The following is a 17,493-nucleotide window of genomic DNA, read 5'->3' as shown; positions in this document are numbered from 1 at the left end:
CAAGGTTAATACTTTTTCTCTGGGTGCTTATGACAAATTTCTATGACTGAATCTAGGTGACACCCAAATATGTGACTGCACCATTCTGTTAACCATCCAACTGTTTGGGGTGAAAAACATCTGGTTGTTTGAGAAAATTGTTTACCTAGTTTCTGGGTGTTTTGGAGTCACTTAACAGGCCGATGACCCTTAATATCCATGTCAAAAGAGAAAGAAAAAATAAAATAAAACACTTTAAAATACATGTAAAATATCTTAAACACTCTTGGGTTACTATAAAATGCCCAATGAACTAAATGCCATCGTGAATCTACAGCCTTCTATAAAATGTATAAGGAGATGTTGCTTGCATTCTACAACAATTACAGAAACAGAAACACACTGACCTTTTCAGCAAGGCAGGAAATTAAAAACTTTAAATTCAATTCTACACCCTACTCCCCCTTCCCTGCCCCCACCCCTGCCCACTGTACTGATTCATCAGCTTAAAGAAATTGACTTAAGGGGCTTGATACAGTGGCTTCTTAAAATTTCCTGTACCTCATTTTCCACTGATTGTGCTACTGCCATGGAAACTAGATGGGACAGACAGCTGGGAGTCACTAATTCAGAATGGGAATCTGCTTGTTAATTTAATTTCATGCCAGCCTGTTGGTCCCTGAAAGTAACTGCTGTAAAAGGCTGGGGAATTGAATTTGCTAGAAATAAATGATTAAGCTGAACGAAAAATCAGTGCCATCTCTGTCATTTTCCTGAAAATCTTCCTACAACCCTCTTTGTCCCTACTCAAGCAATTTTTAAAAAATAATCACAGAAAGAGAAGTTTGATTTGTGCATTCCTATTGGTATGTATGTATTCTATGGAGCATTTTTTGTTCTAATAGAACATTCACAGCTGTAAAATAGTTTCATAATAGCTATTACATTGAAAAAATATGTTCTTTCAAATTATGATTTTGTAGACTTTGAAGAAGCCTAGTTAGTGATGATAGGAAAACATAATATAAATGATGCTTGAATTTTCCAGTAGAATTGGTTATTTTTCCTTTTCAAATAAAAAAAGTCTTATTACAATATCTATGTCCCACTTTTATTACAGAGACCAAATGCATTTGAATACATTTATTTGAAATTTGTAAAACAGTCATTTTACCAGTCACCAGAAAGCATACTGGTTGTTTTAATTTTATTCGACTAAGTTGTAAATTAATAAGTAGTCAACAATGAGGAAATTGCCTTTTAATGTTTCTCATATTCTGTTGTAATGTTTTTGTGGCTGATTATGAGTTATGAAATTAAATTTTGGAATCACAATCTCTATGATGAGCTGAATTGCAATCCATGTCAAGTCTTTTGCAATACCGGCTAAAGTCCTGAGAAACTAATATTACTTTTCTGTCAATTTGTAGCTGTAAGCAAATTTCTGTATTACGACTGAGAGAAGATCTTTGATAATGAAACAAAGAATGGAAAGATAAATATATGTAAAGGTCAGAAGGTATTTTTCTGTTTTAAAGTTAATAAAATTTCAAAATATATATGTTCAAGGTAGAACTATTAATGATAGAATGAAGCAGTTATTCAAAAGTTTAGGAAAATTAATATCCACATTTTTACAGTTTAGGGAATACTGAGAATATCAGTATCCAGTTGTTGAGTGTTGAATTACGTGTATTTTATTCTTTGGTGTATTTTTTGTTACTTGGACTATATCTGTGTGATACTAAAATCTGACTAAAACTTAAAAAAATTGGGACAATTATCACGGAACTTGTAGAATTCATAATATTGGTATCTTCTTTGTCATGTCGATTTCCTCTAACCTTTCAGCAGATGCTTGCATTTGGATGAACAATGGAAAAAGTCATTCATTCATCTGGATGGTTCCAGCTTCCACTGTTTACTCAAATCCTCAGTTTTTATGGTTCTATAGCCTCGGTTTCCCTTTTGAAATCACCATATATTTATTTTTCAATTGTTTTTCTATTTAGTTGAAAGGTGTTGTAAGTATTCAGGATGCTGATGCATATTATACATATATATGTAACTTTCAATAGAATTTCTATGCATTTATATTAAAGGAAATCCACTTTCATTTTAATGTTTTAAGGTTTGGAATCGACTTAGTGTTTTTAGTTGCCTGTATGAATGATGGTTTTTAAACAGCCAAAATAAAAGTACGTGGCTATCAGTTTGCATACTTCTGGGAAAATCTGATCACTGGCTAAGGTCAAAGAGAAAATTTCCCAGTTGCATGGTTTTGCATAATTGGTGGATTCTAAGTGTGTATATTACCTCTAATGTCTCTATCTGGTTTAGACACCTGTCAAAGAGAAGGTGCCAGATTAGATGGACAATTGGTTTATTAGATATTGCAATCCCTATGCCCCAGCTGCATACAGACATTTTAAGAAAACTCTTCAGTTGTTCAGAGAAATTAGAAAGAGATACTGCAGATGGCTTATCTCAATAATCCAGGTTTTTTTCAGGTACATTTAAAATTAAATGTCCTAAGAGATGATTAATTCAGGAAAGTTATTGATAATGAACTAATCTTATGCTACACATCCTTTGCACCTATGATGATACCTTATTAAAGGTGTTTCAATCTTGCTAATTACCACCTGTGTTTAAATATAGAGGTGTATAAATACACTATAACTACACAGTGGCTGGAAGCCTTCTCAACCTAAAATTTTGGTACTGTTTTTAGCTTACTCAATTCCTATCAACAAAAAGTTTGTGGTCAACATTTTGAATTTAAACTCTGTGCCTTATCCCCCTCCTGCCTTTAACATTAATGATTTTCTTTTTTTAAGCTGCTCTGCTTAATTGTAAGCATTTGAGTGATACTGATGTGTGATCTGTTCTATTAAGTAGCCCAAAAATGTGTTTGTGTTTATGTGTGTGGGGCTGACACTTTTTAAATGAATATTTATGAAAACATACATACATTGTGGACAAGGATTTCATAAGCATCATTTACAGACACATGAATACATCACTTATTTGCTTACTTTATACTTCAAATGAATATGTTTTTGTGACTGTGACTCATACGCTTAAAGCTTTAAGCAATGTAAGAAAGCATTTCAGAATTGTGAAGCAAGTCAAAAAAAAAAGAAACTTTTTTGGGGAAGATAGTATTAATTTCACTAATGAGATCTAGTGACCGCTAAGGGAGAAGAACAGTACAGTTGATTGGCCAATTAATACTTATTGCTTAGACTTGAGAATAATCTTACATTTTAAATTATCAATAAAATCACTCTAATTCCTTCCTTCCTTCCTTCCTTCCTTCCTTCCTTCCTTCCTTCGTTCCTTCTTTTCTTCCTTCCCTCCTTCCTTCTTTTTTTCTTCTCTTTTTAAACTACTTTTAAGGTTTGGGTTGGTATACAGTTTTAAGAGAAAGGAAATAGGCTTTAGGACACTCACTAAAATATTGGGAGCGATTACTCTTTTTATTCTTCTTCTGATTCTGGCCAATTCTTTATATATGTTCCAGATAATTATAAACATAATATGAGATATTATTATTTATATTTTTTTCAGTTCGTACCTTCTTTCAGTTATCTTGGGTAGGGGCTATAATGTCACACTGCTTTACTGGGTTGGTATTTATTATAGATGTACTCTGTTCATGTATTCATATGCTGCTAGTACATTTGTGATATATCTTTCCTGTTTAGTCTAATAAAATCGCAACACTTAGGTGTGACACCATTTATTTTTGGTTTAGAATTCATGAAGTGTCAACATAAGGATGCTACATTTTCTTCATTGTTTTGTTCTTTTCACTATTTGAGATATTGCTTTGATGAAACATCGGACAACTTGTGAAAGTGAGGTAATTTTAATGTAAACAATTAGAGTTCAGTGCAAGGGAAGTATTTTAACTGGTAATTTAACATGGAAGAGAGAAAGTTTTAACAATTTACTTCTGTAAAACATGGAATAAAGTATCCTTAAGAAAATGTGTAAAACAGCAGTAGACATAGTGAGAGAACACTGGTCCCAGATATTTAGCAAAATACTTGGAACTGCTTTACTATTGAAAGGGAAAAAAATTAACATTTACACTGATGATCTGTGACAATGGGTCTTGAAGGCTCCTGTTTTCCACAGAGGCTCTCCAGGTCTCATGCACTGGTCTCTCCTTTTACTGAAAACTTCAGTTTACATACTTTTGGTTATATATCACAGAACAATTTTCATGAAGGAAAATTTTCATTTGCTCATTCTTCCATTCATTCATTTGCTAATTTATCAAACCTTCTTCAAAGCCTCTGTTTACCTGGTGCTACAGAGACATTAAAAAATCATCTTTGGGAGACAGATATATAAGCATACTCCGGTCATATAACAAATGCTATAGTAGAGGAATAATTAGAATGCTCTGGAAACTCAAAGATTGATATAGTTTTATAAATAGTCAGTTATTTGAATTGATTCTTAAAGAGTGTCTAGGATGTTTTTTAGTCAGAGAATATGGAGAATCACATTCCACATGACCTTAGGGCTGTGAAAGAACACTAGGTTAAATTAGCAATGGGGAATACCAATCTAGGACAAGAGAGTGCCATTTTATTTCCTATCCGAGCCTGGGGAACAGAGGTCAGGGATAACGTCTTATTTCCATTTATGTGTCTGACATACAGAAGAGGCTTAGTACACATTTGTTGAATGAATGAATGGGTTGGTATTTTGCTGCATGGAGATAATCCTAGAAAATGGTGTTTTTCCTGAGGTTTATCCAAAATTAAGCAGTGTGCTATGTTGTAGTAGTGTCAACTGAACGAGATAAGGGGTTTTAAAGTGAGGGCAAGGTGAATCAACCTTGTGTTAGAAAGACATCACCAGTATGGAGGAAGGATTGAAGTAGATTAGGAGTATAGTAGCAGTGAGACCAATAAAGAGGCAGTACTGCAACTGTGACCAATTATGAGGACATGAACCAAGGCAGTGACAGTAACATGGAGAGGAGTGGACAAATTTGAGAAGCACTGATAAGGTAGAATCAATGATTCTCGGAAATTGATTTAATTTAGGGTGTGAGGAAGAAGGAGGGAGTGACTCTGAGGCTTTTGTCTTGGGAAACTAGGTAATGCCATGAAGCAGAATAGGGAACACAGAAGAAAAAGTTGGTTTCAGTGGGGATAATGCAGTCAGGTTTGGACTTATTCGATGTGAGACACCAGCTAGATATCCAGATGGAGATGGATTGTGCCAGATGGAAATTACAGATCTGGCTGGGCGCACTGGTTCCTGCCTGTAATCCTAGCAGCTTAGGAGGCCAAGGAAGGAGGATTACTTGAGCACAGGAGTTCCAGACAAGCTTGGGCAACATAGTGAGACCCCATCTCTTTTTTAAAAAAAAAATTAACTGGGCGTGGTGGTACATCTCTTTAGTCCCAGCTACTCAGCACTCTGAGGTGGGAGGATTGCTTGCTTGTGCCTGGGATGTTGAGACTGCAAGTGAGCCATGATTGCACCATGGCACTCCAGTCTAAATGACAGAGCAAGAGCTTGTTCTAAAAAAATACAGATCTGAAGATAAAGTCTAGAATTAGAGATCTGGGTGTCATCAATCAACATAGTAGTTGAAATCGTAGGGGCAGGTAGGTGAGCTTAGCTAGAGAGTATATACAGTCATCTTTTGATATCTGTGGGGACCAGGTTACAGTACCCCCCACCATAGATACCAAAATCCACAGGTAGTCAAGTTCATGATATAAAATGGTATAATATTTGCATATGACCTAAGTATATACTTTAAGTCATCTCTAGATTACTTAACAATACCTAATACACCGGACGCAAGGGTGTACATGCCTATTGTCCGAACTACTTGGGAGGCTGAGGCAGGAGGATCCTTTGGTCCCGTGAGTTTGAGTCCAGCCTGGGCAACATAGCAAGACCCCATCTCTAAAAAAGAAAATCTAATACAATACCTACACATCACTTTATTCACATGGATTCAACAAAGTACTTGCTGTGCAGCAAATTCAAGTTTTGCTTTTGGGAACTTTGTGGAATTATTTTCCAAATATTTTTGATTCACGTTTGATTACATCTACAGATGTGGAACTCATGGATACAGAAAGTTGACTGTATAGAGTAAAAAGAGAAGCAAAGATGAAATATTGAGAAACACTGCATTTAAGAGTTTAGTGAAATAAGAGGAGCCTTCAAGAGAGAGGAAGTTAGAATAAGATCAGAGAGGTACAAGCCATACAAGATAACAAGAAAATAGAAGCTAAGGGAGGAAATAATTTTATAAATGCCATTTGGGCAAAGACATGAAAAAATAATTCACAAGAGAGGAAATAGAAATGGGAAATGGAAAAAAAATAACTGAAAAAAACCTCAACCTTCAGTAATCAACATAAATGATATTCAGTGAATATAAAGTTTCTCTTATGCAAGGCAAATAAGTTCTAGAGATCTTTTGTCCAACATAGTGCCTTAAATAACAATACTGTATTGTACACTTACAATTTTAAGAGGGTAGATCTCATGTTAAATGTTCTTACCACAATTTGTATGTACATGTATACATACAAATTAGAAACAATAAATGCCTGTTTATTTTAAAAATTAAAATAATGCTCAGTGCAATTTTTCAAGTCCCAAATGTTAGTCATTCTTGATTTCTCTTTTTTAACACCTGACACCCAACCAATTAACAAATGCTGACTCTACCTTCAAACTATATTCTTTATCTGAATAATTTTCTTCTCATTCATTACTAACACTCTAGAACAAACCACCATCATTTCTTACCTGGAATACTGAAACAGCCTTCTAATTGATATCCCTAGATCCATCTTTGTTCTCATATAGTTTTTCACACGGCAACCAGGATGATCATTTTAAAACTTAAACAAGATCTTATGATCTGTCTGCTCTCTGGCTTCCAAAGGTTGACTTCTCACCACACTTTAAAAAACTTGAAAAATTTAAAAAATCTTTACAATGCCCTACAAGGCTTTACATGATTTGGTCACTATTTATTGGACTTCATGTCTTGCTATGTCCCCCCTCAAACATTGCTCATAACCTTCTAGCCATATTGCCCTTTGATTTGTTCTTTAAACATGCCATGCATTCTTTTTTTTTCTCAGGGCCTTGTGCCTGCTTTTTTATCTGTCTAAAATGATTTTTCTCCAAGGTTTCTGCAGACTTTACTTTTGTTTTAAAATAAAGAACAGAAGTTTATTTTCTCACAGTTTTGGAGGCTGGGAAGTCCAAGATTAAGGCACTGACATTCAGTGCGGGAGGCAGTTACTCCTTCTGCTTCCAAGATGCTGCCTTCTTGCTGTGTCCTCCAGAGGGAAGTACCCTGTGTCCTTACATGGTGGAAGTTGAAAGGGCCAAAAAACAAAACAAAAAAAAACAAAAAAAAAACCTAGCTTATTCCCTGGACCTCTTTTATAAATTACCAATCCATTCATGTCTTCATCACTTCCCAAAAGGTCCTGCCTCTTAATACGGTTGCATTGGGCATTAAGTTTAAACATGAATATTGGAGGGGACATAAACAATCAAATAATAGAAGTATATGATAGATCCTTTTTGACTCTTTCAGGATCACACCACCATAATAATGTCACCAGAAAAGGTGAATGGAATATTCTAGCATTACAAGTAATAATAAAAACTAACACATATGGAATGCTTCCTAGGCAAAGCACTGTCCTAAGGACTTTATATGTATTAACCCATTTAATTTTCATTCAGACCTCTCCAGGTTTACTTTCTTACTTCATTCAGATATTTGATCAAATGTTCCTTCATCATAGTGGCCTACTCTGACCATCCTATGTAATGAACTTTATTGTCTTTCATTTTCTATGCCTTTATCAGCTTCTATTTTTCTTTATATTACTCATCATTAACTGGTATCATACTGTATTTTTATCTTATCCACTTTTCTAGAATATTAGTTCCTTGAGGGCATGAATTTTGTTTCTTTTTTGCTCACTACTATATCCATATCACCTAGCACAGTGCCTGATACATAGTAGGTGATTAATAAATATTGGTTGAGTAAATGAATGACTAATAAGGACATGATGAAATATTAGTTGGTGTAGATTTGGCAGTTTGCTGCAAAAGCCTTAATAATGTTCATACCAATAATTCTACTTCTGGGACTTTGTCCTAAATAAATAATATGAAATAAAGAAAAAACTTCATTTCAGATATTTTCACCAAGCATTATTTGTGATAATAGAAAATATGAAGGAACCCAAATGTTCAACAAGGCAAATGCTATGTGATTTATGATATATCTAGACAAGGCAATACATAATGGCCATTAAAAAAAGATGTTTACAAATATTTTAAGATAAAAGGAAAATGTTTATGTTATACTACCAAATGATAAACCAAGGTGTAAAATTATATGTATCCAATATGTAAGAAAGAAAAAAGACTTGAAAAAGATATGCAAAAGTGCTAAAAATGATTATTTCTGATTGAAAAAGGTGGGTAATAGGTCATTTTTTCCTTTATTATCTGTATTTTCCAAATTTTCTGTAATTAGACTATATAACTATCAGACACCGTGTATTTACAAAACAAAACCATTAAAAAAACAAAAAAATAAATATTGCCATATGAGAAGTGAGGTTTGGGAACAAATAAACAAAGATAATAAACCCATTTTTCTTGAGAGATGTTGCTGGAGGGAGAGGAATATGCCAGTTTTAGCCAAGACCAACTATTCTCTGACTTTATTTTGAAGAGGACTACAGAAGGGAAAATAATCGAGATCCACTGATCCAATCTGGTCTTCACTCACTAGAGAACCAAAGAGGGCGGAACTTACCCTGCTAGGATTTGAACAGGATGTTCAAGGGAAATTGCACAAATTAAGTCTTGTTCATATTGCTGTGGAAAGCACTAGCAATTTGCTTCATGTAAAACAGAAGTGATTACTCACTATATTTCTTCATGTCATGTAGTAAAAACAATTAAATGAAGTTAGACTATAGATTACTTGGCTATTCAGCCACAGTCACCTCTAATGGAAAAGAAGAAAAATAGCATTGACAAGTTTTGGCAGGTCTCATCATTAGAAATGCCTATATTGCCAGAAAGAAAAGAAGCTTCAGCCAATAATGTAAACCGAGAAGTTCTCTAGGCCTTGAGGAAGAAAGTGACAATACAGAGTGTTGCAGCATTAATTGTCTGAGAGCACTGATCATTGTAATGGGAAAACTGTCTCTTTTATTAACACGATTATTTTCTGCGAAGTCTTTGAGTAAACGTCCCATTAAAAAAATTGCATTAGGAGTTTCAAAGCATATATAGCGATGTAAAGATATACTCATTAATAAGATAAAGTGTGACCTATATGCCGCCCAAAGTCCCTTGAAAATAGAAATAGCATTAATATAGGTATTAAAATTACAGTATAATCAGGTAATTATTTTTAAAAAGTAAAAATTTGTACCATTTTCTAAACTAACAGAAATCATACTTTTAACATCTATTTGAGAAAGATATCTATCCATACACATGTATGCATATTCACATTATGTGCATATTCATATATACATATATTATTTGATGTCAACATCTTGAACCCGGCTTTTAGGCCCTTCTTCTGCTCACCTCCAATTTATGTATTTTACCTCCATAGCCAATCTCTGCTGACCGTTTTGTTATAAGAGGCTGAGAACTGAAGGAAGTAGAATATTATTATCTATGTAGGAAGAAACAACAGGCAGTGGTGCTAATTAAGGTCTGGGCTAGATGATCTCTTAATGAGCTGTCCAGGTTTGGACATAGGGCTCTGCTTGCAGGGTCTAGCCTATCTCCAAAACCAATAGTCAGTCCTGTGAGATGTATTTGTAACCTTTGTTTAATAGCTTCTGCTGTTTTTGCCTCTGGTATGCATTATTTGGCTGAGTTCAGTGATGGTCCTGTCAAACATTCTAATTTCTTTTTCTTAAACGGTAGTTAGCCCACATTCAGTATTAAGACAGTGAACAGTTTATTTTTTGGAAATGAATTCTTGAGTGGAATAGAGAGATAAAGGGTGAGGGAAGTTGTACATGTTGGGAATTGTTCAGTGATGGCAAGTAACCTGTGGTATCTGACATAGATCAATGTATTAACTGGCCTTCTCTAGTCATAAATGGGGTGACACACTCCTAAAGGAACCAGCTTGAAAACAATGGAGAAGTGAGCAGAGAAGAGCCCTTTGTTTTTCCCCAGTCTTCTGTTTATCTCACCAAGGCAAAATGCTACATATAGGGCAGTTTATTTTTTAAAGCATTTTTTGCTAGCCTCCTTGCAGAATCAGCCTGATGTATATGAAGCCAATTTCTACAGACTTGCTCTGGTATATGCAGCACAAGAGCCAGAAATATTTTTTGTAGTCTGGATCTAAGTACTTTCTGAAATGTCTTCCCTTGAAAGATTCTAACTTAGCACTATTCTGGAACCACATGAACATCTGAGCAGAACTACGTCTTTTTTGAGCAACATTAACAGTGATGAAAAATGCACATCAGGCAGTTAGATTGCAACTAATCAAGAGCACCACTTCAGCCTAGTATGAATGATTTATATATAGTGCATTGGATATGGAGATCATTAGTAATAATATGATACCCTGTTGTCATTATAAGGTCACCTTGGTGATCTTTGTAAGATATTTGTAAGGTGACAATGATGTTACTGAACTACATTTTAAATATGGCATTTAAGTATTGTCTTCTGTCTTGATTTACTGGTAAAAATTTTAAATTGTTTACTCTTACTACTGAGATTTTTCCTCAAATATAAAAATAATAGGTTTGGGGATTACTTCATTAATAAATTGGGACCATAAGGTTAATTAAGTGCCAGTCATAAAATATTGGAATGTTAAATTTTGAAGTTTCTTTTTTCTTCTGCTTTAATTTACACACTGCCTTTTCTTTTCTTTTCTTTTCTTTCCTTTGTTATTTTTTTAGAGAAAGTCTCGCTCTGTCATCCAGCCTGGAGTGCATAACACTCCAGCTCACTGCAGCCTCAACCTCACAGCTCACTGCAGCCTCACTGCAGCCTCAACCTTCCAGGCTCAAATGACCCTCCCACCTCAGCCTCCAAAGTAGCAGAGACTACAGGCACACAGCACAATGCCTGGCTAATATTTTTATTTTTATTGTAGAGACAGGCTTTCATTCTGTTGCCCAGGCTGGTCTCGAACTTCTGTACTCAAACGATCCTCTCACCTTGGCCTCCCAAAATGCTCGGATTACAGGTGTGAGCCACCCTGTGTGGCCCACACTGCCTTTTCTAAAATGGATTTTTGAAGAATTAAAAACATATTATAACTTTCTATATATGAGTAATATATGTTTATTATAGGAAAGTTAGAAAATACAGATACACAGAAAGAAGAAAATCATATAATTTACATACATCTATATCTAAGCTCAACTCACATTGTGGTTACTTTATAATGTGCTTATTTAAATAAATATTTTTGAACATCTTTCTATGTGAATAAAATATATCAGATATGTGCATACACACAGACATATATAAATACGTACACACACATAAACACACAGACCTACACACAGAAAGAGAGAGAGAGACAGAGACAAAGAGAAACAGAGTTGAAAGAAAACACCAAAAAATGAAAAGAAAAATGTGTAGTCCCCTTTCCCCCATCTCTTCCAGAATGTCACTTAGAAGCAGCAAATTAAAGATATACATAGAAATTATATGAAGTGATCATTAACATCTAACAGTTCCCATATTATGTTTAATGGCTGCTTAGTAATCCATCACATAAATAAATCCTTGATTTATTTAACCAGACTCCAATTATTGGATATTTAGGAAATTTCCAATATTTATTACTATAAAAACATCATGAAAAATTCTTATACATACCTCTCTGTATATATCTCTGATAACTCCTTTTGAAATGTTTAAATGTAAAATAACTTGATCACAAGGAGGACATATTTTTAAGGGTTTTGGTACCTACTGAAAAGTTGCCCTCCATAAATATTGCACCAATTTTACATTACTAATAAATGACTTTTTTCTCTTTTGTTTTTGAGACAGAGTCTTGCCCCGTCGCCCAGGCTGGCGTGCAACAGCGCAATCTCAGCTCACTGCAACCTCCGCCTCCCTGATTCAAGCAATTCTTTGCCTTAGCCTCCTGAGTAGCTGGGGTTACAGGCACCCACCACCATGCCTGGCTAATTTTTGTCTTTTTAATAGAGACCGGGTTTCACCATCTTGGCCAGGCTGGTCTTGAACTCCTGACCTCGTGATCCACCCGCCTCAGCCTCTCAAAGCATTGGGATTACAGGCGTGAGCCACCACACCTGCCATGAATGACTTTTTAAAAGTTCATATGTTAAAAATCCAGGTGACTTCATACTGGGTATATATAAATCAGAGGAAGAAGTGTATCTCTCAAGTGGAGTAAATTAGTAGGGATCATTATATAATAGCACAGCTCCTTCCTTAGCACCAAGCATGGCACATGGGAGACTGTCTTAGTCTATTCGTCATGCCATAAAGGAATGCCTGAAGCTGTGTAATTTATAAAGAAAGGAGGTTTATTTGGGTCACAGTTCTGCAGGCTTTAAAGAAACATGGCAACAGAATCCACTTCTGGTGAAGACTCAGGAAGCTTCCAATCATGTCAGAAGGTGAAGGGGAGCCAGCATATTCAGAGATTAAATGATGAGAGAGAGAGAGAGAGAGTGTGTGCCAGGCTTTTTTTTTTTTCAACCAGCATTTCTCATGGGAACTAAGAGTGAGAACTTACTTGCATGATAAGGGCACCACGCTATTCATGAAGGATCTACTCCCATGATCTAAACACCTCGTACCAGGCCCCACCTCCAGCACTAAGGATCAAATCTCAATATGTGACTTGTGGCAGGGCGAAACCAACCATATCCAAACCATAGTGGAGACACATTTTATAGTCAGTTTTATACCTGTTGAATAAAAGATGCCATGTGGGACGTTGGTAAAAGGACTGAACCAAAAGTGAGGGGACATGAATTCTAATCCTGGCTCTGCCACTAACCACATATGTGAGTTTGAAAAAGCCATTTAATCTCTCTGGGCCTTAGTTTCCTAATCTTATAACAGAGTTGTTTGAGAAATAGATGAAATACATATATGATTTTTTTTATAAATTGTAAAGGACAATTTTAATGTAAGAAATTAGGACTATTATAAATTGTTTACACTAGTGGAAACTTTGAAATTGTGGGCATTTCATCTCAAAATGACTGGTATGTTGAGTGAAAATTGAAAAAAAAAGGAAATTGAATAGTGTTCAGTTGAGAGAGTCTATGTGGAATGGGTGAGAATTTCATACTCCTCCAGGTATACTCTTCTATAATTAAGAAATTCTTTGTTAGCAGCATACTTAATATAATCAGTTGAAATTTCAAGTAGACCTTTTAAAAAGCGGACCCCTTTATCTCTTGTGAATTGCACAATGAATGTTCTTATATTCACAACCCTCATCTCCACTTCCAACCCTACCCCACATGTATCTCTTCCATTCGTTCATATAAGGACTGCTTTGGATTTGCATGCACATATGTTTGAAGGATAATTTGGCCTAATTTGTTTACAGGAATTACAAGGGTGACCTTTATTCCGCTGTCTCCTTTTTGATTCCCATAACTTCTGGACCTATCAAGGTATGTGCATTTTACACTGAATTTTACTTTGAGAATTGAACACATAGCTACATAATGTGAAAAGAATGGAATGTTTTGGTGATATAGTCAGTTGTATTTATTGCATGTCATGTAAATGAAATGCATTGTTTTAAAATTTTTAAAGTCTATTTGTCCATTTTATAGATAAGCTTGTGTCTGTACCTCATAATTTTTAGTCTTTGCAAAAACAAATATGCAGGCTGTCTTACATGTCTGAATAATTCTGTGACCTTTTCCACATACAGCTACTCAAATCAGGAGTCTTCTTAACTAATGGGAACATCTGCAGAGTGTGTAGGAACAGCAGTAGCCAGAGAAGATGTTTGCAAAACTATTTAGTAGTTCTTACTGACTACAAATAAATATTTCTCCATATCAATGGAACAGATAATTCCATTTAGAAAATTTTACTGGCATAAATATTTGCCTCCTGAAATGAATGTTTTGATTCTTTAGTAAAGTCTCATGTAAAATATTTGTATTTACACAGGTATTGCATTCATTTGTTTACCCTTCCGTTCTACCCTCTCTTCATCTACCCATCTATCTATCTATATATGTCCAATAAACAGGTATTGAGCAACTTTGGGGCAAAAGTTATTGTGCCTTTTTTCGTGGTAAATGTGCCAATGTAGGTATAATTCAAATGGAGCTTTGAGAGTGTTTGCTTCTCTATAGTCAGTCCACTGTTAGGTGGACTACGTGAGAAAATGTGGCAAGATGAAGGATCTCCCTCATTGGTTTTAATTTTTATTAAAATATTGGTCAATGTTCAGTCCTTAGTAACTAAGGCACAGAAAGCATTGATTTTTTTTCCCTTTGCTACCTATATCTTGCAGTGCTATGCATCATTACTCAAATGTGAATTCTCATTTCAAGCTGTAAAAAAGTCAAAAGGATGATCTGAATTTGTGGTAAGTCTTTGGCATCACTTGATACTTTCTTTAAGAGTATGTAAAAAAGAAATCTGCAAACTCTCAGAATTTGCATTGCCCTTCTAAAAATATAACACAAATATCTCATTAAGGGTTTCCTTAATTGGGCTCCAATTATTGGATATTAGTCTGTATCAGAAATTTAAAACGTATTTGTCAGTTTTGACTATACATGTAGTTCTATTAGCCTTTCTTTCAGAGGTACTGTCTTTAAGGGAATACTATTGCCAAAAAGTTCAGATTACTATAGGAAAAAAAATGTAAGATCAGAAAATAAAATGACATTAAAAGATAAACTTACTTAAAAAGTAAGTCGAGATTTTGCATATAATGTCATTTGTGAAAATAATTTTTTTAATTTGGTAATTATGAGTCTGCCAGTTGTGCAATACTAATTGCAAAGTATTTTTCACACTAGGAAAGTTTAAATGTGTGGAAAATGTTAGTCTTACTAAGCTAATGTGAATGAATGGATCAGAATGGAGAGGAAAATGCCTGACAGACCCAAAGAATGCACACTTATAAAAATAATTGGCACTAAATATTTAAAAGTTTCAGAGAGCAGCTAGTTTCCCTCTTTTAGAAAGACAACATGACATAGTAGAAAAGCCCTTGTTTGTCAATCAGGAAGCCTGGGCTCTACTCTCAGTCTTATATTAGTAATACGTTTCTCATCAGGTCACTTCTTCACTCTGAGCATTGGTTTTCTCAAGTCTATTATAAAAACTTTGGGCTGAACAACTCCAACTGTCTTTCTGTTCAAACATTGTATGATTTTTAGAAAATTCAGGGCTGTTCTCAGATATGCAATACGGAATCAAGATTAGCAATTAAATTGGAATACACACACCATTTAAAAGATTGCTCCTTGTTAAGTGGTTTAGTGAGTTGGTAATAGTATATTTTTCCTTGATTTAAAGCAATTGTGTATTCTAATGCCACTATCACTCACTCACTCCATGCGTACTAGTACTGGCGTTATAATAAATAGTTTCAAGCTGAAGTTTAGCTAGTAGTCTTGAGTCTTCTTCCTTGATAAAAATGCTTCACTTTGGGATGCTGCTGTGCTTCTTCTCTGCCAGTCTGTTGGAGTTCAGCAAACTATGTTTTCACCTTCTTGCATGATGGTCGTTCGAGGTCAAGCATCTCTCTGTACCTTGAAACCATCCAAGTGCGTAACCTGATGACTTCAGACTCCAATGCTTTCAATCTGGCACCTTTCATGAGCATTGAGTTCATATTAAAACATTTAAAATATATTCTCCTTCATCTACATATCACAGCAGTAACAACTTGGGCACAAGACAGTGCCTGAGAACAAATAACCACTTGGAGTTAATGATCTGAGGGGCAGCTGAAGGACCATTGACTCTTCCTAGTCAGTTCTTTGTCCCTATAAAATGCCTACTTCTGAGGTGCCGAGCCTTCAGTAATTTTTCTGTCTCACGTCAGATTAAGTAGTGACCATAAATAATAGCATTTAATACATAATAATGAGATGTGGCAATGCAATAAAATATCAACAATTCTAGTACTATATTAACATGGCTATTCTGATGAAACCAAAAGAATGAGCAGTAAATGAAGTTCATGAATCATAATATTTTAGAAGAGACTTTCACCTTATTGATTTGAAATGAGATATAAGAAAGAATTCATTTGGTTTAGGGGAGCAGTTCCCTTTCTTTTGCTCTGCATTCCACTGATGAATGATCTAATTTAGAAATAATAAAAAATGCCTCTGACATCTATTTTAAATTGATTTTTAAATAGTGTATGTTCAGCTTTTTCCCCTCTTTTTTAGCAGTAGATTCATTTTTCAAGATATGTACAGCTCTGAACTAAGTTACAAATACAACTCTACAAATGTTCTTTTCCAGAAGAAGCACTTTTTATTTATTTATTACTGTGACAAACATTTATAAGTCTCTACAGTGTGCCAGGCATGGTGCTAGGTGCTGGGGAAACAAAAAGTAATATGGAACATAGTCCTTACTCATAAGCTCATAGTAGAGAGTTGGGGACTGTGCTATACACAGAGAAATAAAATAATCAAGTGTTGTAGGTATGGAGTTTCTATGAATTTACTTGCTCATGGCATTTTTAAAATAAGTTTAAAAGATTCATATATCAAAACCTACTGAGTAAGGCAATGATGTGTGTAATCTAAAATAGCTCTCCACTCAAATCTGCAGTAATCATTGGTTATGGTGGGAAAAATGCCCCCCCCCCCGCCCGCCGAAAAGATGTCTGTGTCCTAATCTCTGAAACCTGTGAATATGGCATGTCATGTGAACATGACAAAGAGGAATTAAGATTGCAAATGGAATTAAGGTTACTAATCGGCTGACCTTAAAATAGGGAGATTATCCTGGTTATCTCTGTGGGCCCAATGTAACTACAAGCATCTTTAAAAGTGGAAGAAAAGAACAAAAGAGAGAAAAACAGAGAGATGGGCCCATGAGAAGAACTTGGCCTGATTTTACTGGCTTTGAAAATGGAGGAAGGGGCCATGAGCCAAGGAAGGTGGATGGCCTCTAGAAAGTGGAAAAGTCAAGAACACTGATTCTTTCCTAGAGCCTCCAGGAAAGAATTCAGCCATGCCGATACCCTGATTTTAACCTATCAAGACCCACTTCAGGCTTCTGACCCCTGGATCTCTAAGATAAGTCTGTGTTGTTTTATGCTGTCAATTTTGTGGTAATTTATTACAACAGCAATGGCAAACTAGTACACTGAGGTTTACTCAGTACGGAAAATGTAAGGAGTAGTCTCTAGTTGTTGATCATGATTACTGAAAGGCATTCTTCATGCTGAAATTGGTGCACAGGGTTATTTACCTAGTGACC

General features: G+C 35.2%; 1 protein-coding gene across 11 annotated transcripts in view; it reads left to right on the top strand.

The window, feature by feature from the left end:
• TENM1 (teneurin transmembrane protein 1) overlaps positions 1-17,493 on the top strand; it is an 828,410-nt gene that overhangs the window by 4,982 nt on the left and 805,935 nt on the right. For 8 of the 11 annotated variants that reach the window (XM_047441760.1, XM_017029214.3, NM_001163278.2 and 5 more), the window contains exons 2-3: positions 13,622-13,688; positions 14,549-14,623. The gene's annotated coding sequence lies outside the window, so the exon portion shown is untranslated. The remainder of the gene's footprint in view (positions 1-13,621; positions 13,689-14,548; positions 14,624-17,493) is intronic. The other 3 variants (XM_017029210.3, XM_017029211.3, XM_017029213.3) reach the window with 1 other exon arrangement.

This window comes from Homo sapiens, chromosome X (genome assembly GCF_000001405.40).
Source record: "Homo sapiens chromosome X, GRCh38.p14 Primary Assembly".
NCBI lineage: Eukaryota > Metazoa > Chordata > Mammalia > Primates > Hominidae > Homo > Homo sapiens.
Note: the sequence above shows the minus strand (reverse complement) of the source record. Positions and strands in the feature narration are given on the sequence as shown.